The following is a 26,085-nucleotide window of genomic DNA, read 5'->3' as shown; positions in this document are numbered from 1 at the left end:
TTTTTTTTTTTTTTTGAGATGAGATCTCCCTCTGTTGCCCAGGCTGGAGTGCAACGGCACAGTCATAACTCATTGCAGCCTCCACCTCCCAGGCTCAGGTGATCCTCCCACCTCAGCCTCCCAAGTAGCTGGGACTACAGGTGCATGCCACCACACCCAGCCTTAAACCTACATTCGCAAGTCTGGGACTTGTGTTCTCATTGTTATCACCAATAAAAGAGCTGTGGACCATCTGTGGCTACAAGTGGTTGTTGAGGGGATTCTTTTTGTTTTCAGGATCCCCAGAAAGTTCATGTTAATTGTTTCTGGACCAGCTCAGGAATGAAGGGCTGATAATTAATCACCCTTGGTCCCATTGTCATGGGTTAAAGGCAGTCTACAGAGTAGCTTTGTCATGGCAGAGGACATGAACAGAGCCCTAAGAGCAGGTTCCTAAAGAGATATCTTATGAACACTCCAAGTGCAAAGTCTGACCTCAAGTGAGAGCTCAATCAGTGTTGCGAGTCCATCCCAGCCTGGCCACTAAAGAATCGGGTGACCGGCCAGGCGCGGTGGCTCAAGCCTGTAATCCCAGCACTTTGGGAGTTCGAGGTGGGTGGATCACGAGTTCAAGAGATCAAGACCATCCTGGCCAACATGGTGAAACCCGTCTTTACTAAAAATTCAAACATTAGCTGGGTGGGGTGACACGTGCCTGTAATCCCAGCTACTTGGGAGGCTCAGGCAGGAGAACTGCTTGAACCTGGGAGGTGGGGGTTGTACTGAGCTAAGATTGCACCACTGCACTCCAGCCTGGTGACAGAGCGAGACTCTGTCTAAAAAAAAAACAAAGAACGAGGTAACCTTGGGAAAGAGAATTTTGTGACCTTGGGAAAGTTACTGTACTCAAGGTGATAGCTTCTGTGGCTGAGGAAAGGTGTTTGGGGAGAAGTCAGAGGTCTCAAGGCATCCTTTTGAGGCAGGATGACGGTACTAGTCTGTTTTCACTCTGATGATTAAGACATACCCGAGACAGGAAAAGAGGTTTAATGGCCACACAGTTCCACGTGGCTGGGGAGGCCTCATAATCATGGTGGAAGGCAAAAGGCACTTCTTACATGGCGGCAGACAAGAGAGAAATGACAGCCAAGTGAAAGGGGTGTCTGCTTATGAAACCACCAGATCTCATGAGACTTATTTGTTACCACAAGAACAGTATAGTGGAAACTGCCCCCATGATTCAATTATCTCCCACCAGGTCCCTCCACAACGCATGGGAATTATGGGAGCTAGAATTCAACATGAGATTTGGGTGGGGACACCGCCAAACCCCACAACGCATGGGAATTATGGGAGCTACAATTCAACATAAGATTTGGGCGGGGACACCGCCAAACCATATCATTTAAATATCACCTGATGCAGAAGACCAATGTCCCAAGCAAACAAGGAAAGAAGCTCTGGCCACATCAAGAGAGGTTAGGGAACTGGAACATCTCTGCTTCCTCTCTATGAGCACCCAGAGACCAAAGGGCCTCAGCAGGAACTTGCTGCACCTTCATCTTAGACCTTATTTTACCACAAAATTAATGCCTGCAACACCGTGCACAAAAGCCAAAAGGCGGAAGCAGCCCAGATGCCTATCATTGGTTGAGAGGAGCAGCACGCTGAGGCCCCTCCATCTGGTGGCTGTTGCTCAGTCACAAAAGGAATGAAGTTCTGGTTCACACTGCAGCAAGGATGAACCCTGAGAAGTTATACCAGGCCAAAGAATCCAGACACAAAGGACCACACATTGTACAGCTTCATTTCTTTGAAACGTCCAGAACAGGGAACCACTTAGAAATAGAAATTAGATAAGTGCTTGCCAGAGGCTGTGAGGAGAGGGGAATGGAGAGTGACTGCTAATGGGTACGAGGTTTCTTCTGGGGGGATGAAATGTTTTGGAACTAGATAGAGGTGATGGTCACAATATCGTGAATGTACTAAATGCCACTAAACTGTATGCTTGAAAATGATTCATTGTATGTCACATGAATTTTACCTGCATACAAAAATCCAAAGCAAAATAATAACAGTATCCGCACCCTAAAGGGGAATAATAATCATCTATCACCCACAAACACTCAGTAGGGTTTTTTTTTTGTTTGTTTGTTTTTTGTTTTTTTTGAGACAGGGTCTCACTTTGTTACTAAGGCTGGAATACAGTGGCATGATCATGGCTCACTGCAGCCTCAACCTCCTGGCCTCCAGTGATCCTCCCACCTTAGCCCCCCGAGTAGCTAGGACTACAAGCATGCACCATCATGCTTGGCTAAGTTTTGTATTTTTTGTAGAGAAGGGGTTTCATCATTTTGCCCAGGCTTGTCTTAAACTCCAGGGCTCAATGGATCTGACCGCCTTGGCTTCCCAAAGTGCTGGGATTACAAGAGTGAGCCACCACTCTTGGAGGCAGAGGAGTTTTTAATCCTATACTTGTTTAGCTCCCCCTACCCATCTGTCTGGCAGATGATACCCTGTCTTTGGAGTTGATCTGCTTCCTCGTGGTCATGATGGCATAGCCAGGGCTGGACTCAAGTCTCCAGGCTCCTAATCTGGTGCTCTTCCCTGCCCCCTAATCCTGTGCTGTCCCTTCTTCTTCTCTAGGACACACTCTCCACTGGTTCTCCAGTGGCTGCTCGTGACTCTGTGGAGAGACTGTGGGCTTCTGGGCACGCCACACACAGGCTTCTCCTGATGTGGGAAGTCGTATTCCTGGTGCCCGGCTCACCAAGGGGTAGCAATGTGCCTGTTGTTCTAAATACTCTTCCCCCAGTCCTGGCTGTACCCCTGGCAGGTGAGAGGTGTCAGTCTCAGTGTGTGGTGGTAAAAACGGTCTCCATTTGTTCAACAAACTCTTCCTGAGCCCCCCTGTGCTGCTCATGCAGATCCCATGCTGGGTCTGGGGCTTCCATGGTGAGCAAGACTCACCTGGGACTCAAGCACAGGGACCTTGCAGCCTAACTGCATTATGATGGGTCACCATAATGCCATCTCCTGAGTATCCCGAAGGCAGAGCAGAGGGCTGGGGGCTTACGCCATGGGGTGGAGCCTCCCACAGGGTGACCCAGGCTGCTACTTGGAGAAAGGGCAGGAGTCATCATCCACACCAAGACAGGTGGGGAAGGGGGTCCTCTGGGAGCCCTTTCTCCTCCCCCTAGCCTTCCACTCCTCTATGGGTGAAGTGTCTGAGCCGGGAGAGTGGCCCAGCGTGAGGGCTGAAGTCTTCAGAGGGAGGGCAGGACAGTATCATGGTCAGGTGTGCACTTGAGGGGGTCCCTTCAACTGCAGCTGGGAGACTAGATTGGAGGGGGCTGGATTGGGGCAGGGAAACCCTGGTGGCCCAGGTGAGAGGTGCGAGCAGGTTCCTGGGTGATGATGAAGGCAGCAAGCAAGAAGAGAGGCATGGGGTTGGGAGCTATTTGGGAGGAGGATTCATCAACAGGGCCTGGTGTTGAGTGGCTTGGTGTGGGAGGGCTGGGAGCGGGGGCAGGGGAGAGCACCTGTCCTGGGCAAGAGATGGAGGGTGGGGCCTTCACTGAGATGCAGGCACTGAGGATGAGGGGCTGTGACTTAATCCATTCTGGCAGCTACAACCAAATGCCACAGCCTCCGTGGCTTATAAAGAACAGATATTTATTTCTCACAGTTCTGAAGACTAGGAAGTTCAAGGTCAAGGTGTGGCAGATTCCCTGTCTGGTGAGGGTTTGTTTCCTGGTTCATCAATGACATCTTCTATGTGTCCTCAGGTGGAAGGGATAAGGGAGCTCTCTGGAGCCTTCTTTTGTTTTATTAATTTTTTTCTTTATAATTGACACATATTAATTGCATATATTTATGGAGTGCATTGTGATGTTTCAATGCATGTATACATAGTCTAATGATCAAATCAGGGCAATTACCTTGTCTATCACTTTAAACAGTTATCATTTCTTTGTGGTGACAACATTCAAAATCTTCTCTTCTGGCTATTTTGAAATATACGACACAGTGTTAGTTTCTGTAATCACCCTACTGTGTGACAGACCCTCAGAACTTCTTCTTCCTATCTGATTGTGACTTTGCACCCATTGGCCAACCTCTCCCAGTCCCCCTTCTCTCCACACTTCCCAGCCTCTGATAACCTATTCTACTCTCTATTTCTTTCTCTTTTTTTTTTTTTTTGACGGAGTCTCATTCTCTCACCCAGGATGGAATGCAGTGGCACGATCTTGGCTTACTGCAAACTCCGCCTCCAGGGTCAAGCCATTCTCCTGCCTCAGCCTCCCAAGTAGCTAGGACTACAAGCACCAACCACTATGCCAGGCTGATTTTTTTGTGTTTGTATTTTTGGTGAAGACACGGATTCACCATGTTAGCCAGGATTGTCTAGATCTCCTGACCTCGTGATCCACCTGCCTCAGCCTCCCAAAGTGCTGGGATTACAGGCGTGAGTCACAGTGCCCAGCCCTACTCTCTATTTCTATAAAATCAACTTTTCTAGATTCCACATATGAGTGAGATTATGCAGTGTTTGTCTTTCTGTTCCTGGCTTATTTCACTTAACATAATTTTCTCCACGTTCATCCCTGTTGCCACAAGTGACAGGATTTCATTCTGTTTTATGGCTACATAGTATTCTATTTTCTATATACCACATTTTCTTTATCCATTCATCATTAGATTGGCATTTAAATTGATTCCATATCTTGGCTATTGTGAATAATGCTACAATAAACATGGTTGGGCAGATGTTCTCTTTGACATACTTAGCCCATTTCCTTTGGATATATTCCCAGTAATGGGATTGCTGGATCATATGGTGGTTCTATTTTTAATTTTTTGAGGAACCTCCAAACCTCCATACTGTTTTTCATAGTGAGTGTTCTGATTTACATTCCCTCCACCAAGGTAAAAGAGTTCTGTTTTCTCCACATCCTTGCCAGCGTTAGTGATTTTTTTTGTCTTTTTGATAATTGTCATTCTAACTGGGGTGAAGTGATATTTCACTGTGGTTTTGATTTGCATTTATCTGATGATCAGTGATGTTGAGCATTTTTTCATATATTTGTTGTCCATTCATATGTCTTCCAGACCCCTATCTCTCACCATATACAAAAGTCAATTCTAAATCAATTAAAGGCTTAAATGTAAGACCCAAAGCTATGAAACTACTAAAAGAAAACATTGGGGAAAAGCAGCATGATGTTAGCCTGTGCGAGGATATGGTTTTAGTTTATGTGTTTGTTTAATAAGACCTACAAAGCACAGGCAACAAAAGCAAACATAAACAAATGGGATTACAGTGAACTAAAAATCTTCCCCGCAACAAAGAAAACAATAAAGTGAAAAGAAAACTCTATAAAATGGTAGAAAGTATTTGCAAACTACGCGTCTGACAAGGGGTTCATATCCAGAATCTATAAAGAACTCGAATAGCTCAACAGCAAAATAAGAAAATATTTTTGAAATGGACAAAAGGCTTGAGGCCCCTTTTGAGAAAGGACTAATCCCATTCACGAGAGCGCCACCTTCGTGACCTAATCACCTCCCAAAGTCCCCACCTCTTAATACCATCATCTTAGAGATGAGGATTTTCACATAGGGATTAGGAGGGGACACACACATTCAGACCACAGCAGTAAGGTTAGAAAAGATGGCAGAAGACGTTGGCTGTAAGGCCCCTGCAGGCCATCCACATGAAGCTGAGGGGAGGCGATGGGGACCTGGCAGAATCTTGAGTGGCCAGGCAATGTAGACGTCTAATATATGAGCAGAAAGACTGAATGCAGAAATGAACAACAGGCAGGTGGTACACAGAGACGCGGCTCTGACCACCAAGGGCAGAAACAAGTCCCACGTGGCCAGCATTTGAGAAGTAACTAATGGCTTCCCTAATTTTTGTCCCCATTTTCAACTCATATTCCAACTTCAAGTATGCCCCCTCCCCAATCCCACAGGACGCCTGTTTCTTGGCTGCCTCCATCTCCTCAGGCCAACAGCCTCCGTCGGGCCTCACCTGGAGCCTCTCCTTCTCCACTCTGAGGCTTCCCACTCCCCTGCCTGTCTTTGAGTCTCTGCCATGGCAAGCAGTGGTGGCCAACTCCCTTGTTACAGCAAGTTCTGAATAAATTGCCTTTGCTTGTTCTCATCTGGAGGGATTTTCATTTCTGGCTACCCTGGTTATGTCTGATGTATAACTGAAACCTGGGGTTGGGTGGGGTTACAGGGTGTCGTGTTACATGAGAAAAGTAGAGCTCCAAGGCTGGACTCCACAGGAACCTCATCACTGACTGGGTGGTGAAGGACTGGGAAGGAGGAAGGGGCTGGAGAGCTGGAGGGAGGCCTGTGAGCGGGCACCAGTGTGGGCACAGCAGCTGGGAGGGCAGGGGCTGCCCGGCGCACACACTCCACACCTCACTGGCCTCGTCTTGGCACCATGGCAGGTAGCAGGAATGGATGGGAGCTCCAGGTCAGCTTCTAGCTCTGTACTGACCAGGAGAGTCCCCATCCCCAGCTCTCCACTAACCTACTCCCAAACCATCTTCTCCCACCTGCTGATGAAGCTGAACCCCATTTAATGACCACATTGTAAGCATGTGATGTGTGCCCAGCCCCACTGCTGGACAAATTCTAAGGGCATGAAAAACCACACAAACAAGAGATAAGAAAGGCCAAGTCCTCGTCAAGGAGCCCACAGCCTCACTGTCAGCAAATGCTCCAGACCCTACCATGGACAGCACTGAACACGGTCATTCTCGATTAAAGGAAACAGGCCCAAGGTGCATGCGATGTATGATGCCTAAGCCCATTCCAGGCAATCAGGAGTTATGAGTTAATGCCACTTGGTACCAGAGTTTAGGGAGGGACTGTGTCAGAGAGACATTGGTCAAAGGATACAAAAGTTCAGTTAGACAGGAAGAATAAGTTCAGGGGATTTACCTAACAATCTGGTGACTGTAGTTAATAACACCGCACTGTAGACTTGAAAATTGCTAAGAGAGTAGACTTCGAGTGTACTCGCAAAGGAATAAGTGTATGAGATGTCAACCTAAATAACCAAGAAAGGCTCTCTAAAGGAAAATGACATTTACTTGGGAGTCAGTATTGCAATGGGAGTATACGTGCCATAGCAAACTACATGTGTATTCAGGGAGAAACAGGAAGACAAAGGTTTTTCAGGGAAAAAATGAGGAGGATCATATAATTGCTTCGAGATAATTATCCCTGTCTATAAGGATCAGTAACATGAGTGATGCCAGTCCAGGTTGGGGACAGGCAGTTGCTGAGCAGATGTCCATGCAGAAATATTTTTGTGTGTAAGGCTGTGATGGCCTTTGTGCAGGGTTGTGGTGTTTGCAGAGTCTTTTGTGATGGCTTTGTCTGCAGGCATCCGTGCATAAGAACCTCCCCTCCTGGCCTTCCCTGGCTCCATTTGTCAGGGTTTTTAACACAAGTGACTCCACTTTGACTAGGCAGTTTTCACAGAGGTAATGCATATGTTAATTAGCTCGCCTGAGCTGTCCCGCAATGCATTCATATCTCAACACATCATGTTGTGCACCATGAGTATGTACAATTTTTATTTGTCGATTAAAAAAGTGAATAAATAAAATTAATGCCATTTGGCTTTGTAGGAAGCCACCAGTCCCTCTCTGAGGCAGCTTTGGTTCCGAGGAGACTTAGGTTATTTTTTTATTTTTATTTATTTATTTTTTTTGAGACGGAGTTTTGCTCTTGTTGTCCAGGCTGCAGTGCAATGGCGCAATCTCGGCTCACTGCAACCTCTGCCTCCTGGGTTCAAGTGATTCTCCTGCCTCAGCCTCCCGAGTAGCTGGGATTACAGGCACCCGCCACCCTGCCTAGCTAATTTTTGTATTTTTAGTAGAGATGGAGTTTCACTATGTTGGCCAGGCTGGTCTTGAACTTCTGACATCAGGTGATCTGCCTGCCTCAGCCTCCCAAGGTGCTGGGATTATAGGCCTGAGCCACCACGCCCAGCCGAGACTCAGGTTAAATGTGACCTCAATGCCAAGGTTCTGAGTCACTGTAGGTGAGAACCTATGTGGTGCCTGCACACTTCGACCTCACCGAGTTCATTGAGGGCCTCCTGTGTGCCAGCCTTTGGGGTTACAGGGATCCATAGCCCATGTCCTCCCGCCTCCAGTCTCCTCCATTATGGGTGGGTGAGGGATGTTAAGTGGAATAAAGATGAGGTCAGCACAGTGCCTCGCACAAGGTGGATGCTTCTGTTTAGCCCTTTTACCTGGATCTTCCCACTCGTTCCTCACAACAGCTTGCAAGGTGAGTGCATTCTGTCATGTTATATGAAGGAGGAAACTGAGGCATAGGGAAGTGAGTTACTGTGAAGGTCACGATGTCAGAGAGTGGATTGAAATTCATGCAGGGAACCCTGTAATTGGTACACAGCCAGTTCACTCTGCTGCACTCCGGGCCAGCCATCAAGAGATCAAGTGTGGTCATACATAGTTTCAAGATACCTACAGAATAACAGCAATGGGGCGTACTTGTAGGTGGAGGGCAGGAGGAGGGTGAGGAGCTAAACTCTACCTATCGGGTACCATGCTATTACCCCGATGACAAAACAATCTGTTCCCCAAACCCCCGCGACACGCAATTTACCTACATAACAAATCTGCACATGTATCCCTGAACCTGAAATGCAACTTTTAAAGCATAAATAAATAAAATAAATTTCCTTCTGCAAGGGAGGCTGACGGGCTAGGGATGGACAGATGAGATGCCTCCAACAGTCTCTATTCCATTCCAAGTTTAGATGTTCTTCTCCACCTTGAAAACATTTAGTGACTTAACAAAATTCTAATAAATTAAAAAATAAATTGACTAAGGCTTAATCAAGCAATTCATTTAAACATCTCTGGAAATGGAATGCACAAAAAGTATGCAAATCCCATGTTAATCTGTATTCCTCTTAAAGCATTACTGGGGAGCTTACTTTCTATGCAAATGTGGCTGGAGATGGAGGGAGAAAGCAACTTCTGGTGGCTGGACATCTTTTTTTTCCTTTATACATTAATTTTTCCCTCAAAAGACTTGAAATTCTTCACAGATGATTTGTGTGCGCCTCCCAAAGCATCTTTATTTTTGGTCTGGCTTGCTTTTTCCCATCTCGGAACCAATAATTCTCTTTAGACCCGCCAGCAAGTCGGGGGCTGCCAGAGACAGTTTCTCCAGGGGCCCAGCGGGTGATGAGCATCTCAGAGATGGAAAATTACTGGAGACTGCACTAAGAGCCTAGAAGTCTTAAAAGCAACCTCTCCAAGCTTTCCTAGTCACAGTCAGCACCATGCATTTCAAATGCAAATCCCGCCTCATTCTTTGAGAGTAACTGCACGTCTAACTCCAAAGCCATTTCACAATTAGCCCTGTTTCCCGCAGGGAATTTCAGCCACCGGGAAATTCAGAAACACTGCTTGGACAAAGGATTTCTGAAAACTTTCAGTCTCTGTGGTTGGGATCCAGGGCTCTTAAGTGTAGTTCTGGGGAAAGTTCCCCATTTGGACTGAACTCTCTGGGAGGCCTGCACGCCCCTTCGCTGGGGCTCACTCTGGCCAGTGCTGCAGTGCTCTGGGACAGCAGGCTGAGGATTTGCAGAGCATGTCACAGGGCATAGAGTGCATTTACTGTATCACCTCATCTGACTACCGCAGCAGGTTCTAGGACAGGCAGGGAAGGTGGCATTATCTGTGTTTGACAGATGAGAAAACTGAGACAGGGATGAGCAGGTGATTTGCTTAGGCTGTTGTATCTAATCAGTATCCACTGTGGTTGCTAAGCCCAGGGCCTTTTGCTGGCATCTGATCACAGTGGGCTCAGCTGTTCTAGACTGGAAATATAGAAAAAGAACCGTTTCTGTGCTTCCAGAAGTTCATGACATCTATAACAGAGTCTGCAACCTCTTCCTGTAAAGGGCTACTTAGTAAATGTTCTCTGTTTTTGTCACCACACAGGTCCCTGTCACAAAACCTTGTGAACCCCAAATATCTGAGACAGGTCTCAGTCAAATTAGGAAGTTTATTTTGCCAAAGTTAAGGACACACGCTCATGACACAGCCTCAGGAGGTCCTGAGGACATGTGCCCAAGGTGGCTGAGGCACAGTTTGATTTTATACATTTTAGGGACACATGAGACATCAGTCAATATAACTAAGAAGAACATTGGTTCAGTCCAGAAAGGCAGGACAACTCTAAATGAGGGAGGGGGCTTCCAGGTCACAGGTAGATAAGAGACAAATGGTTGCATTGTTTTGAGTCTCTGATTAGCCTTTCCAAAAGAGGCAATCAAATACGCATTTATCTCAGTGAGCAGAGGGATGACTTTGAACAGAATGGGAGGCAGATTTGTCCTAAGCAGTTCCCAGCTTGACTTTTCCCTTTAGCTTAGTGATTTTGGGGTTTCAAGATTTATTTCCCTTCCACAACCTCGCTACCACAGTGATTTGAAAGCTGTGTAGATAATATGTAAACCAGTGAACAGGGCTGTGTTCCAACAAAATTTATTTACAAAACTGGGCAGGAGGGCCAGATGATGAACGGATTTGGCCCATGAGTGATCGTCTGCCAACCTGTGATCTACAGGTTGACAGGATGCTGAGATGTGACCAGCCAGTGGATCGCAGCAAATTTGAACAAACAACGTACTAATGGAAGAGTAAAAGACAGGAAAGAAGCATGAAACGCGGCTTGGCAGTTAAAGACAGGTTTCCTTTATGTAAAACCTGACAGGCGCTCCTGGCCCATTGCGGTCAGAAGTGCTTTCTCTTACAGACTAAGAGTATGTATTGGTTTTAGGGTGAGGGGGCTTATCACAAGCTCTGAATGTTTACGTGTGTGGAGAAGTTTATGGTGGGGTTGGAATCTCTCTGGGAGGAGGGGAGGTTATTTTGGGGCTACATCTTTCCGGCCCGGAGGGGGGTTTATTTGGGGCTAGCATGTCTCTGGTCAAGGAGGAGTTTGGAATGTTTCTGGCTGGAGATGTTACTTGTGGTTTATGGTCATGCTGACCTTAGCCATTAGGCTGATGCCCTTTGGATTGAGGCAGTTTTTTATTAAGGTGAACTTTAGAATGAGGGGCTTGCCCAAGATGGCAATGCTCCTGCTCTGTCAGCTAGTGCTGTGTATTTCCAATCCAATGAGTGTGGAAAGTTTTACCAAAGGTATCACCATGATTGATTAATATCCCATTGTTGTCTTTATGGAATGGCTAAAGTGACCAGTTGACCCCCATCCAAGACCTGATTCCTGCCAGCCAGCAGGATGGTCTAAGGGCAGGCCTGCAGTCCCACTGAGGTTACTCATACACCCTCTTCACTCTCTGCAGGCCTGGTTGAGATAATCAATTACATATTCATGTCATTACTTTGCAATGAGAGGGCTGGTCATTCAGGCAATAGGCCTCTGTTTCCCAGCATCGGGCTCTGAAGAGACTAAGATCAATAAGATAAAGGTATATTGTATACAGATACAATTGCCCCTGCCTCCAGCAGCCCCTGGTCTAGTAGAGGAGGCAGAGGAGACCAGGGCACCATGGCAGGAGAAGTCTTAGTGCCACAAGACCAGGTAGAACAGACTTCCTGGAGGAGGGGGAATCTGGACAGAACCTTAAAGGATGCAGAGGAACTGACCAAGCTAAGGAAGAAATCAGAGCGCGCCCTTTGGGGCAGTAGAGACACCAGTGTCACGGTCATAGGAGTGAAAAGCAGCTTGTTTATGGCATGTGCTACCAACATTCTAGTGTTGTTGGAAAGCAGTGATCTTTCAGGGAAAAAAAAGAATTCTAATATAACCACTTATTTTATACTATCCTGGATTTATCTTTATTAATAATAGACCTCATCATTTACATTTAATTTGTTACTGGTTTAATATCTAATTGCGAACCTCTAATTAATTTTTAGTCTTGTAGTAAATGAGACTTTCTCCCTACAACTCAGCAGGCAAAAGACGTGCCGCATTTAATTTCCTAACCAACGCCTGCAAACCATCTCACAAAAAAAGTCAGGAGAGAAACCTATACACTCGATTGCCTTCTCGTTGTCATCTGTTTGTTTGTGTTATTCAAAAAGGTTTTGTGGATGAAGTTATCTTATGCACCACACATGAACCCAAGGTGTACCCTGCAGCTGTGCTTCCTCACTGCACATCCCACCTCCCTCCACCAAAACCAAGATGACTAGAAAGAAGGAGAAGGGAAGCAGATGGCTGAGATAGCATCTGAGCAGCACAAATGTATGTGTGTGCAAATCATTTGGTGTATGATAAATGCTATATCCTATAGAATACACATTCCACTAGCAGCATATGACGTACAACACATAACCTATAAGAGATAATTCCAGGCTGCGCACGGTGGCTCATGCCTGTAACCCCAGAAGTTTGGGAGGCCAAGGTGGGTGGATCACGAGGTCAGTAGTTCGAGACCAGCCTGACCAACATGGTGAAACCCTGTCTCTACCAAAAATACAAAAATTAGCCAGGTGTGGTGGTGTCTGCCTGTAATACCAGCTACACGGGAGGCTGAGGCGGGAGAATTGCTTGATCCCCAGAGGCGGAGGTTGCAGTCAGCCAAGATCACACCACTGCACTCCAGCCTGGGTGACAGAGCAAGACTCCATCTCAAAAAAAAAAAAAAAAAAAAAAGAGAGATCATTCCAGCATGCCCGTATATGTCCTGGTTTTCTTATTGCTGCTGTAACAAAGTGCCACTCCCTTAGTGGCTTGTACCAGCATCCACTTCTGTCTTATCATCCCATGGGTCAGAAGTCCAGGCACAGGTGGCCTCAGCGGGGCCATGGACTAAAATCAAGGTGTCTGCTGGGCTGGGCTCTGACCTTCTGGAGGCTCTGAGCAAGATACCATGTCCAAGCTCCCTCAGGTTGTCAGTCAAATGTAGTACCCCGCAGTTTCCACTTCCCTGAGGTCTCATTTCCTTGCTGGCTGTCATCGGGGAATCCCTTCCCAGGACAAGCACATTCTCGTGCCTTCCACACAGCCCCTCCAGCAGCAGTAAGTCAAATCCCTCTCACACTTCACCTTTCTCTGGTAGCTCTTTCGCCACATCTCTGTGAGCTGCTCTTCTGCTTTGAAGGGCTCATGTGGTTGCACTGAGCCCACCCAGATACTCCAGGGCATCTCCCTGTTTTAAGGTGAGCTGATGAGTCAACTTAATGATGTCTGTCAAACCCCTTCACAGCAGCCCCTAGGTCAGTGTCTGGATGAGCAGAGGGAGGCGATCTCATGGGACAGCTTTAGAACCCCGATATTGCTATGGACACACATATCTGCATCATACAGTGACATCAGCTGTGAGGTGGCTGGGCCTCATGCTAGTCCCGTGAGAAAAGCAACTAAAATATGCCATGGTTGAAGAAAAGCACATGACAAAAACATAAGTCCTTGAATTCTACGGTAGAAATTATTTATTGTTCATAAGCTTATTGATGTTTTATTATTCAATTTGAACATTCATTTTCTGAATGTGTGCTTTCTTACACCTATGGCTGGCATCTGTTAAAACACTGGGTCCAGAATGATATGCATCATTCTAAAAGATGATGAACACTGTGAACACAGCTCAGAGAGAGGGGAAAACTTGAGGCCCAGGAGCCAGCAGCAGGGTCCAGATTCAAATTCACACTCATGCAACGTCGGGAGCAGCACAAGTCATGTGGCCAAAAAGTGGTAATAACCTTATCCTGAGGGGAAGGGGTAAATCCAGAAAAGTTTAAGCAGGGGAATCATGCAGTCATATTTGTGTTTAGACAGATTATTCTGGAGGACTTGTGATTCTGGCAAGATGGCAGACCAAAGACCTCAAAGTTATCCCCAGCTATGCTGGATAAAAGATAACAAAAGTCTATTGTAAGTGCATATATGAGCACCCAAGGAGGAAAGGACACCCTCTGGTCTCAAGCATTAAGACAGAATTGAAAGCAAATATGGTGAGCCCTGAGCTAAGGCTGCTGCTCCAGGGTGAAGTGGGCAGGTGAGGTGCGCAGGTGAGATGGGCAGGTGAGGTGGGGAGCTGAAGTATGCCAGTGAAATGGGCAGGTGAGATGTACAGGGGAGATGGGGAGGTGGTTTGGGCAGGTGAAGTGGTCAGGTGAGGTGAGGAGGTGAGATGTGCAGGTAAGGTGCACAGGTAAAGTGGTCAGGTGAGGTGGGTAGGTGAGATGTACAGGTGAGACAGACGGTGAGGTGAGGAGGTGAGGTGTGCAGGTAAAGTAGGTAGATGAAGTGGAAAGGTATGTTTGTAAACAAGAACTTGGGCTTTAACACCAAAGTGTCAACAGCAAATGAATCCATGCAACTGGGGATTCAGAGGCAAGACCCCTGACTAAAAGTGCTGCGTCAGTTGTGGCAGCCTTAGAGATGCTGTAGACACCACCTGTATGGGGAGAGATGAGGAAATGCAGACACCTCTACCTGGGTTCAGGATGAAAAAATAAAAATCTGCCCCAACAACAAACAGCCTGGAGCTGTGCCACGTGCAGGTCTGCAGTTCGGCTTCAAATTATTAATGTGGTCCAGGGATGCCTCCCTTTGACAGCAGCAAATCCAAACCCTCTCTGGAGAAGCCCTCCCCGTATGTCCGTGGAAGCCTCACAAGGGAATCCAAACCCATGATGAAGATGAGTCTCCATTTAACCTTCTCGAGATATGTGAGGACCCATTCTCCCATAAGTGGGTGAAAGCATACAAGAGGGTCAGAGCGCGCATGAGCTTGGGGCCCTGCAAGAAAACACAAGTGTGGTTAAAACAATGAAAGTCATAGGAAGTAACAGAACAGGACCTGTATCCAGCCTGAGCCTCTCCCCTCATGCAAGGCTCCTGCACACTGCCTGCTCCCACCTCCACCTGGAGGGCTGACGGACACTTCACATGCCTGGCATCTCCCTCCTAGTGCCGGTCTCAGGAGAGGACAATGCCACCTTTCCAGGGACCCAAGACCAGATCCCTGGAGTCATCCTTAACCCGTCTGTTCCTCTCATGCTTCCCAACAAGCCAATACATGATTAAAAACAATATGAAATAAATTTCCTACAAGTAGAAGAAATCTCCTCATCTTCTTAACCTGCTAAAGCAATGCTATTGTTGCTGTTGTCATTATTTTCAAGTTATGGGTTGCCATGCATTTTAGAGTTGTAATCATTTTTGATATGAGAAAAATCATAGAATTTAGCATATTTCATGTAAGAGAAAGAATAGAATAGAATAGAAACCGCCAGAGCAAGTGTCATGCAGGCAGGATAAGTAACATCTGGGGTCGTGTCTGTTTCAGGTATACGTCTGTTTACACAGGTACATGGGCACTAGTCACGGAGTCAAAAGGTTGTTTTGTTTTGTTTTTTACTGTGGTTCATGAAAGCCACAGTGATCAAATATATTTATCAGAACACATGTGGCAAACATTACATTTTATGGAAACATGCCAGCAACAGTCCCCTTCAAAATCAGAAACAAGAAAAGGAGGTGCATTTGTATTCAGCTTTGTGCTGGAGGTCCTGACCAGCACAGTAAGACAAGAAAAACAAAAATAAATGTTACAAGGGTTTAAAAGGAAGACACAAAAACCATCATTATTCGTAGCTGTTATGACTGACAATGCACAAGACCCAAGAGAACAGAGATCAACTCAGTATAAATAATAGAGCTCTGCACAGCTTCTGGTTATGAGGTGCAAACCCCCAAAACTGTTAACATGCCTGTAGTTTGGCAACAACCAATAACAAAAAATATTACTTTAAAAATATCATTTGCAATTGGAAAACAAGTACAAGTTACTGAAAATAAACCCCACAAAAGAAGTACAAGGTGTTCACAGAGATGACAAACTTTTGTTGGTAAGAGAAAATGAAAGCAAACCTAAATGGAGAAAAAAGATATAATGTCATAGAAATTGCCAATCCTTCCCAAATTAATCTATAAAGTCAATGCAATTTCAATAAAAACCTCAATTAAAAAAATTTAACAAACCTATTCTGGAATTTGTATGAAAGAATAAAAACTTGGGAAGAGTCAAGAGTATTTTAAAGGGGAAGAAAAAGGAAAGGTCGGGATGTTCCTTACTGCATGCTGAGACAGAAGACAGAAGCTCCAGTGATTGAAATATGGGAGAAAAATAGACCTCCGGCACCAAAGATAGCACCAGACACAAATCCACCTGCATCTGGGAAGCCGGTCTAGGACAGACGCACCGTTTTGAAACTGCCTTTGCAAAATTATAACTCAGGAAATTATGACAGTGAAAGAAATCAGAACCAACCGACTCCATCTTGCTTCTAACCTTTAAGCTGTCCTTGTTCGTTCCTGGGTGTACGCTGAACTAACTTCGGGAAGGAATTCAGTTGATGGTTTGACTCTGAAACAAAATTGATAATAACGCTTTCCCCGAAAAGACTCCCTTCTTGCCTGGGGACCAGTCTGCCTTTGCAGGACTAACACATTAGCTACAAGATTAGAAATCACAGTTTAGGGGTCATGCAGCCTCTGGCTCCAAGAATCCGAACCTTCCCCAAATTGCTTCCTGTGGATAACATCACGATTGTAAAACCTAAGATCAGTGCCTGAGATGTTTTGCAGACCCTGCACTGGGTGGATCAGCTGACACCACCCAGACCAGTAAAATGGCTCAACCAGTTCTGCCAACCCACCCAGGAACAGAAAACAGCAAGGAAAACTCACTTCCCAAGCCCCTACCTGCCAAATTATCTATAAAAACTCTGATCCCTCAATGCTTTGGAGACTGATTTGAGTAATAGTAAAACTCTGGTCTCCCACATAGCTGGTGCTGCGTGAATTATTCTTTCTCCATTGCACTTCCCCGGTCTTAATCAATTGGCTCTGTCTGGGCAGCAGGCAAGGTGAACCCACTGAGAGGTTACAGTTTTAGACCAGAGGGGTAAGAACGATCTCCTCCTGATGAAATTACATGGACACGTTACCACTACACCCCTTCCTGTTGGGATCTTTGAGGGGACAGACTACACAGCACCCTTTTCTCCCCTGGCTTCTGAACACATGGAAACATAAAACAAACTCTAGGACCAAGGTGTTGTAGAAGTCTACAACTTCACCTCTATTATGGGTAGGGCTGAGATGGAGGATGGGGGTCGGCATAGTGATGAGTTCTTCTAACTGCCCCCGAGAAATGGCCAGAGCTCCCATCCAGTCCCAGGGAACTCGGACAGGGCAGGGCCTCCTTTCTACAAAGGATGGGTCCATCCAGGAGGAGCACAGAGTGTGCAGGGAACTAGCTTATGGGAGCCAAAAAGAAGTTGCTGAACAAACGCTGTCTCTCAGGTTTGCCAACCCAGTGAGTGTTTCAACTTCCCTGGGGTGAAGGAAAGAGGCTGGAGAGAGGCTTCCAGGATCGCCCACATGGAGCTCTCTCCAATGGGCAGAAATGCCGGGCTTGGAGAAGAAGTGCTCCTCTGTGTCATGTACACAAAATACATTTTGGATGGATTAAACACCTGAATATAAAAAGCCAGTAGTGCAATATCTTTCCAAAGAAAACAGGGGAGACAATTCACAGGACATCAGATAGGAAAGGATTTTTAAACAAGATGAAAAAAACAAACCAGAAAACAGAAGGTTGATATGTTTGACCACTTTTGAATAGAAGATTTCTTGTAAGATTATCTTATAAAAATAATCATATAAGAGACACCACCATGAACGTGGGAATGGAAGATGTTCATAACCCAAATGTCTTAGTGGGCTCAGGCTGCCATAACGAAAGACCACAGACCTGGCAGCTCAAACAACAGAAACTTATTTTCTCACAGTTCTGGAGGCTGGAAGTCTGAGATTAAGATGCCAGCATGGTTAGTTTTTGGTCATGGCTCTCTTCCTGGCTTGTGGGTCAGTGCCCTCTCACTGTGACCTCACATGGCCTTTCCTTGGTGCAAGAATACAGAAAGAGAGAGAGAGAGAGATAAACTCTTTGATGTCTCTTCTTATAAGCATCAGGGCACCACCCTTATGACCTGGGTTGCATAATAGTGTCATTCTCTAACAGGGACCCCCACTGACAAAGGAGAAGGTGGTGGCACCCACGGGGACTGGGGAAAGTTGACTTCCATTTTGGATGTGGTGGGGTGTTGAGTTGTAAGGTCTGTGAGTCACCCTGTGGACATCTCCAATGAATCATTGAGAGCATTGCAGTTCCTGAGCCCAGCAGAGTGGTCCAGAGAGAAGTCTGGATTTCCTGATATTGCCCAGGGAGGGGCATAGGTGAACTCAGTGCTCAGGCAGCGGGCATGGAGGGCCAGCTGGACAATGCTGAATTCCTCAATCCAAACCCTATTTGACAAATGGCTCCCTGATGAGTCCCTGATGTGATCAACCCCCTGGGCTTCAGCTCCTGTCCAATGTGCCTCCCCACCTCAGTGCTCCAGTTGTGTCCGCCTGGGAGTCAGCTCTCCACCCACTAGTGGTCCCACCTACCTTTCTCATTTGCTTTTCTGTCTCATGATGCCCCGCTGAGCCTGTTGTGGGAATGCAGGAAGAAGATTTGGAGTGAGAAGGCCAACATTTGTATCCAGGCTTAGTCTCTCGAGGAGCTTCTCTATGGTGAGCAGTTATCTGATCTCTCTGAGCTGTAAAACAGAGATTACATGATGGGGATATTCTAATAGTCTTCCCAGGCCTAATGAGTTTAAGCAAAGCTTTTTGAAATCTGTTTACACCCTCAGCCTGTGAAAGTGCTTTGTAGAATGCAAATGTGTAGGCTGTGGTTATTACAATAATCTTATTCCTATGCTCTGGGATTTCAGACCTGTTTCACTCCATCTTTTAAAACCATCCTTTTTCCTTTTCCCTCATTTTGTAGGTCTTACAGTAACTATACTTCTATAATTCTACCATAGCTTTTGTAACATCCATCATGTTTTGGGTATCCCATAAATTATGTGAGTATCAGAAAAGACTGAGGACTCTAGAAGAACCCTGGAGGTTTTTGAGCAAGTGGGTGGCCAGAGCTGGTTAGGGATAGGATGACATCAGCTGAGTCGAGGAGCACAGCTGTGTTATGTCTAATGTCTGACCAAATGCCTCACCACGACGGCAGAGAGTCCTGCAGTGATCCACATTGGACTAGCTCCTTCAAGGTACCAAGACCTCATGAAAACATGGAAGCCAAGGTGGCCTCTGGGCTGGGATGGCTGAAGAACTCACCAGGAGGCCAACGAAAATGAAACTTCAGGGATCCTCATAGCCATCTCCTTCCACTAGAGTCTGTGTCACACAGACCTTTGACCCTTGGCTCAGGTATTGGTGGAGTGGCCATGGGTGCTGGGGATCCAACCAAGAGGAAGTTGAGTTGGGGATATCTTTAGTTTGAGTCAATGGGATGGATCCTGCAATCACAGCCACTTCTCCATATGGCTAATTATTGCTAGTGTATGAGCTTCCCGGGTCTGCCAGAAGGAAGTACCACAGACTGGGCATCGTAAACAATGGAAGCTTACTGTCTCACAGTTCTGGAGGCTGGAAGTCCAAGCTCAAGGTGTTGGCAGGGTTGGTGATATGGTTTGGATCTATGTTCCTGTATTAGTTCATTTTTACACTACTATAAAGAATTACTTTAGGCTGGGTAATTTAGAAAGAAAAGAGGTTTAAAGGACTCACAGTTCTGCACAGCTGGGGATGCCTCAGGAAACTTACAATCATGGTGGAACATGAAGGGGAAGCAAGGCACATCTTTTATGACGGCAGGAGAGAGAGAGAAAAGGGGGAAGTGCCACACTTTTAAACAATCAGGTCTCATGAGAACTCACTCACTATCACGAGAACAGCATATAGGAAATCTGCCCCCACGATCCAATCACCTCCCACCAGGTCCCTCCCCTGACATGTGAGGATTACAGTTCCACATGAGATTTGGGTGGGGACACAGAGCCAAACCATATCAGTCCCCATCCAAATCTCATGTTGAATTGTAATCCCCAGTGTTGGAGGTGGGGCCAGGTGGGAGGTGATTGGATCACGCAGGTGGTTTCTGATGGTTTAGCACCGTCCCCCTAGTGCTGTTCTCATGATAGAGTTCCCATGAGATCTGGTTGTTTAAAAGTGGGTAGCACCTCCCTCTTCTCTCTCTCTTCCTCCTGCTGTGGCCGTGTAAGACATGCCTGCTTCTCCTTCGCCTTCCGCCATGATTGTAAGTTTCCTGAGGTCTCCCCAGCCATGCTTCCTGTACAGCCTACAGAACCGTGAGGCAATTAAACCTCTTTTCTTTATAAACCACCCAGTCTCAGGTAGTTCTTTACAGCAATGCAGGAATGGACTAATACAGTTGGCTTCCTTTGAGGTCTCTTGGCTTGTAGATGACGTCTTCTCCCTGTGTTCTCACATGGTCATTCCTCCATGTGTGTCTGTGTTCTGACCTCTTCTTATTAGGAAACCAATCCTACTGGATGAGGGTCCACCATAATTATTCATCTCTTTAAAAATCCTACCTCCAAATGCAGTCATATTCCCAGATACTGAGCGTTAGGACTTCAACATGTGAATTTTGGGGTGACATAACTCAGCCCATAACAGCTAGGGTACCCATGGAAGAATGACCCCCCCAAACTTTCTAATCATCTACTGGGCCAACTCATCCCATGCTGTGATGTGGGGCACCAGGTCAGAGCTGTGTCAGGTGGTTAAATAAAACAATGTTATCGATATACCTTTTATTTGTTTGTTTGTGGCACTTATCAGCTTTTTAAAATTTGTAATTTTTCAAATGTATTTTCCCACTCTAAACAAATACGAATGTCCCAGCATAATTTTTCTTAAAGAGAGCATTCAAAATTGAACAAGTTTCAGGCTTCAGCAAACCTGCCTCTGCCCCCACTGCTATCACTGCCTGCCCAGGAAAGATGTTTTCAGGGTGAAGGTGCTTATGTGGAAAAATGGCACACATAATATTCACATGGAAGCAATTAGCCCAGAACCTGGCATGGAGTAAGTGCCTCATAAGTACTAGCTTCTTAGACTGGTTATCCCAAGGGCCTCCCCAAAGACAGGACTTGGGTTCAGGTAGTTTACCTGCCAAGAGACCCAGGAATCACAGTGGGCAACAGAAAAATGAAGAGACAGGGAGGAGAGAAACAAAAGTGTGCTAAGGGGTGGCCTCTGGGCCTCACTCCTGATGAAGGTCCTCTGAGAAACCACAGCCATGGGGAGGGAGCCTGCTGGGGACAGTCTTGTAGATGTGGGAGGTGTACAATACTGCCTCCTGTGCCCATGGGTTGATGGAATTATAGTGGCCCCTCATACCCAGCTCTCTGGAAACTGTCCATAGCTGTGGGAGACTGGGATGGACTGAGGCCACAGAGTGGGGAAACTATAGCCCCTGCTAAGACCTGCTCATTCATTTATAGGTCAGCCATGTCATCGGCCCAGGAGACTGATGGCGAAAAGTTTTGACAGCTGACTTCCTTTTTCTTCTTTTTAAATTAGTATTAACAATAGTCTTGATTGACAGATCATGAATGTGTATATTTATGAGGCTCAATGCTATATTTTGATGTATGTACACAATGTGACATGGTTTAATCAAGCACAGTTTCTTCACATGACTCTCAGTTACACTGGGGGATCTTAGAAGCCACTGCAAATCCAGGAATTCTACTGAGGAATCTGTGTGTGTGTGTCAGGGGCTGGCAGATTTATTCTGTAGAGGACAAGCTGATCGATATTTTAGGCTTTGTGGGCCAAGTGGTCTTGTACAATGACACAGCTCTGCCACTATAGCGGGAAAGCAGCCATAGGCAATATGTACATGAATGGGTGTGGTTGTGTCCCAGTATGTCCCAATAAAACTTTATTGGCAAATGCAGGGGGAGGAGGGTGGCTACTATGGAAAAAAAAAAAAACAGGTAATAACAGGTGTTGGTGAGGATGTGGAGAAATCAGAACTCTATGTGCTGTTGGTGAGAATTGTAAAATGGTGCAGAGGCTATGGAAAATAGTATGACAGCTCCTCAAAAAATTAAAGGTAGAATTATCCAACGATCCAGCAATCCCACTTCGGGGTGTATACCAAAAGAGTGGAAAGCAGAGTCTTGAAGAGCTGCCTGCACACCCGTGTTCACAGCAGCATTACCCACAGGAGCCAAGAGGAGGAAGAAGCCCAAGTGTCCTCTGAGAAAGATGAATGAATAAGCAAAATGTGGTCCATCCACACCACGGAAAATTACTCAGCCTTAAAACAGAAGCCCTGGCACCTGCCACAAAATGGATAAACTTTGAGATCAATCACAAAAGGACAGAGACTGTAGTATTCCACTTATAGGAGCTCTCTAGGGTCATAACATTTATAGAGACAGACAGTAGAATGGCGGGTGCAAGGGGCTCGGGGAAGGGCTTTGTGGAGTGAGTGTTTAAGGGGACAGGGTTTTGATTTCGTAGGATACAAAAAGTTGAAGATGGAGGGTGGTGATGGTTGCACAACATCATTTGCGTTTAATTCCCGTGAATTGTACATGTAAAGTGGTTCAGGGGTCGGGCGTGGTGGCTCATGCCTGCAATCCCAGCACTTTGGGAAGCTGAGGCAGGCAGATCACTTGAGGTCAGGAGTTTGAGACCAGCCTGGCCAATATGGTGAAACCCTGTCTCTACCGAAAATACACAAATTAGCCAGATGTGGTGGCATGGCCTCTAATCCCAGCTACTCGGGAGGTTGAGGTGGGAGAATCACTTGAACCTGTGAAACAGAGGTTGCAGTGAGCCGAGATCACACCATTGCACTCCAGCCTGGACACTGCAGCGAGACTCCCTTTCAAAAAATAAAACAGGGCCAGGCGCGATGGCTCACGCATGTAATCCCAGCACTTTGGGAAGCCGAGGTGGACAGATCGCCTGAGGTCAGGAGTTCAAGACCAGCCTGGCCAACATGGTGAAAACCCGTCTCTACTAAAAAATACAAAAATTAGCTGGGCATGGTGGTGGGCGCTTGTAATCCCAGCTACTTGGGAGACTGAGGCAGGAGAATCAACTTGAACCTGGGAGGCGGAGGTTGCAGTGAGCCAAGATGGCGCCACTGCACTCCAGCTTGGGTGACAGTGAGGCTCTGTCTTAAAAAAAAAAAAAAAAAAGAGTGGCTCAGATGTTAAGTTTTATGTGTATTTTACCACAATTGGAAAAAATGCAGGGGAGAGCTGGTTGTGTCCCCCAGGTTATCATTGCCGACCTCTGGCTTGTCTATCTGTCCATGTTCCCCCTCCGGCTAGCAAGGGCCAGGCATTTAACTGCTCTGCATCTTCGATTTTCCTCAATTTAGGTCTCTCAAGCTTCAAGATCTGCTATCTAGGAGCTGGCAAACAACGCACCTGTTTTCATTTATTTCGGATCCTACCTAGGAAATAAATCAAGAAAAAGTTAGACTTACCTTAAGTGCCTTTTCCTAAAACAGGACAAATTCATTTTGAAGGGGGAAAAAAAGCAGCAAGGAAACGTTACAGAGGTTCTTTGTGCACAAAGAGTGTTCCCTTGGTTCTGTGGAATGCTCTGCCCACCCAGGCCCTTCTCAGCACTCTCTTGCCCTCCTAGGCCTGTTTTGTCCTGTGTACAGAGGGATAAGGACACAGGGAAGTCAACTGGCTGCTCCTATATTACAGAATTTTTTCAGGACAAGGGATTCAGTACTCTCTGTCTTCCTTCCAACATTCTACCCTGCCACTGGATATAAATAATGAGAAATATCAGTGCCCTGGAGGTGGACGTCAACCCTTGCTGCCTCTTTAAGAGCTAGGGCCAAAAGCCAGAGAAGACATTTCCCTTCCTCCTGCATCTTCTAATCCCAAAGCCTGGGGACACTGCAAGTCCAGTGGTGCTTGGAAAGGTTGAAAAACGACCTCCCTTTAAGCCGGAAGGAAAGAAAATGCCAGGGGATTAATAGGGTTGAAGGATTACAAATTTCAGATAGGTCACACTTCATCTGCTTTGAGTTATTGGGGCTTGCTTCTTTCACAATTTCTTACCATGGCAAAAGTCAGAAAAGACTTTCTTGATCTGTTCTTGGGATGGGGACTTTCCCATACATTTGGGAGATACTGACTCTCTGGTCCAATTGCACCAGGATTCAGAGGCACTGCCATTCCTGGTGACCTGCTTCTGTGTGGCCATCCCAATGTCATGAAGACACATCCCACGGCTGTTTTCCATTAGGAAGACATGAGGGGGCACCTGGGAGAGGTAGCGGGAGATGGCACATCCCCATGTTCCCATCACACGCAGCAGTACCCATGGATGCCTCACCCTCAGGGATCCACGCCGTGGGATGCAGCAAATTGAGAACCCACCAGAATGTTCCACCCCGCACCCAGCAGGTCCCTTTTGGAGCAAGCCAGCAGCCTCTCCCCATGGGACTGCAGATGCGTCACACTGGAAACTGCTCTTCTTTTTCTCTTTTCATCCAAATTGAGGATCTGAGCAAAAGTCTGAAGGCCCTGGAGATAACTCAGGTTCTTTTCCCTGAGTGACAGCTCGACAGGGTCTTACAGTAAATAAGGGGGAGTCTAAGAAAAAGATGATCTCATTTCATGAATGCATATTTGTGTCCTAAAGAAGAAGAACCACAAGACCAACCTCAGAGCCCCATGAATATTACAGTAGATCCAACCCTGTGACCACACCACCCATGGTGGTGATCCCCAGGGATGAAGGGATTGGCTAATTGCTGCCAAGCACTGTGGCAAGGGCCATGCACCTTAGCTCCGAGAAGCCATGACCCTGATAGGGTCCTCTCAGCTGATGGACATTGCCCACCTCTTTCTTCTACAGGCCATGACATCACACAACAGGAATGCTGATCATGAAGGATGCACGCATTGTGCTCAGGCAGGGAAAGTGTGCTCAATGGCCCTGGTCTAACCCTATCCCCTTTTGTATGAAATTTGCAGAGGTGGATTTTTTAAGAAATAAGCAAGAGGCTTGAATGTGCAGTGAGCATCCCTCCCTGCCTCTGCCAGGCCATCCACTCACAGTAAATGCCTTGGCCATGCTATGAACATGCTTTCTGGCAGAGTCTTAGGATAGATTTCTGGATATACCCCAAGTGTGTTCTGCAGCTACTCACCAAACAAAGGATTCTGTGGTCAAAAAAGAGAGAAAAAAACAGCACAATATGTCAGCTACTGCCACAAGACTGCTGTCTAGAAGAACTCCCTGGAACTCAAGCTCTGTAATATCCACCGCCCACACGACCACAGGCCAGCAGGAGTTTGGCCTGTCCAGACTGGCCTTAGCTGGGCTGGGTGGCAAGCTGGTGGGGTCCGCATCTTACCTGCGGGCCTTTCATCTGGCTTGGATCAGTGGCTACTCAGGTATCTTTTTTGTTGTTGTTGTTTTTTGTTTGTTTGTTTTTTTGAGACAGAGTTTCACTCTTGTTGCCCAGGCTGGAGTGCAATGGTATGATCTCGGCTCACTACAACCTCCGCCTCCCAGGTTCAAGTGATTTTCCTGCCTCAGTTTCTTGAGTAACTGGGATTACAGGCATGCACCACCACATCTGGCTAATTTTGTATTTTTAATAGAGACAGAGTTTCTCCATGTTGGTCAGGCTGGTCTCAAACTCCCAACCTCAGGTGAGCCACCTGCCTAGGCCTTCCAAAGTGCTGGGATTACAGGCATAAGCCACCACGCCTGGTCCACGTATCTTTTCTTATGGTGAAAGAAGGCAAAGCCAATCACACAACATATTTCAGATCCTGCTTGGTCATGTCCTGGAATATTCCAACAGCTGAAGCTAGTCATGTGGCCACTTCCAACTCAAGCAGAAGGAAGTACACGTCAGCCACCACACCAAGACAGGACACGACTGTAGGGGAGGGCAGAATTGAGACCCAAATTCAACCAGTGACAGGATCGCTGCTGCTGCCTGGAGATCCACAGTTCACCATCGCGTAGCAAAGCTCTGAGACTCCCTGGGGTGACAGCATCAGTTTCATGCAGCCCAGCATTCCCCATATTTTTAAACATATGTCCTGTATTTAAAGCATATCTTTTATAATCCACATAAGTAGTTTTCTGCAAAATGCACATTGAAAGACA

General features: G+C 46.5%; 1 long non-coding RNA gene across 2 annotated transcripts; it reads right to left on the bottom strand.

Annotated features, from left to right (window-relative positions):
* Positions 1–13,933: 13,933 nt before the first annotated feature.
* LOC105376674 (uncharacterized) lies at positions 13,934–25,422 on the bottom strand. 2 transcript variants are annotated; one of them, XR_946894.2, is made up of 3 exons: positions 25,319–25,422; positions 18,490–18,641; positions 13,934–14,769 (listed from the first exon to the last, which is right to left on the bottom strand). It is a non-coding gene; the product is annotated as an uncharacterized LOC105376674 (long non-coding RNA). The 2 variants fall into 2 exon arrangements; XR_946895.1 differs by lacking the exon at positions 13,934–14,769 and adding an exon at positions 17,859–17,941.
* Between the last annotated feature and the right edge of the window lie 663 nt (positions 25,423–26,085).

This window comes from Homo sapiens, chromosome 1 (genome assembly GCF_000001405.40).
Source record: "Homo sapiens chromosome 1, GRCh38.p14 Primary Assembly".
Taxonomy (NCBI): Eukaryota; Metazoa; Chordata; class Mammalia; order Primates; family Hominidae; genus Homo; species Homo sapiens.
Note: the sequence above shows the minus strand (reverse complement) of the source record. Positions and strands in the feature narration are given on the sequence as shown.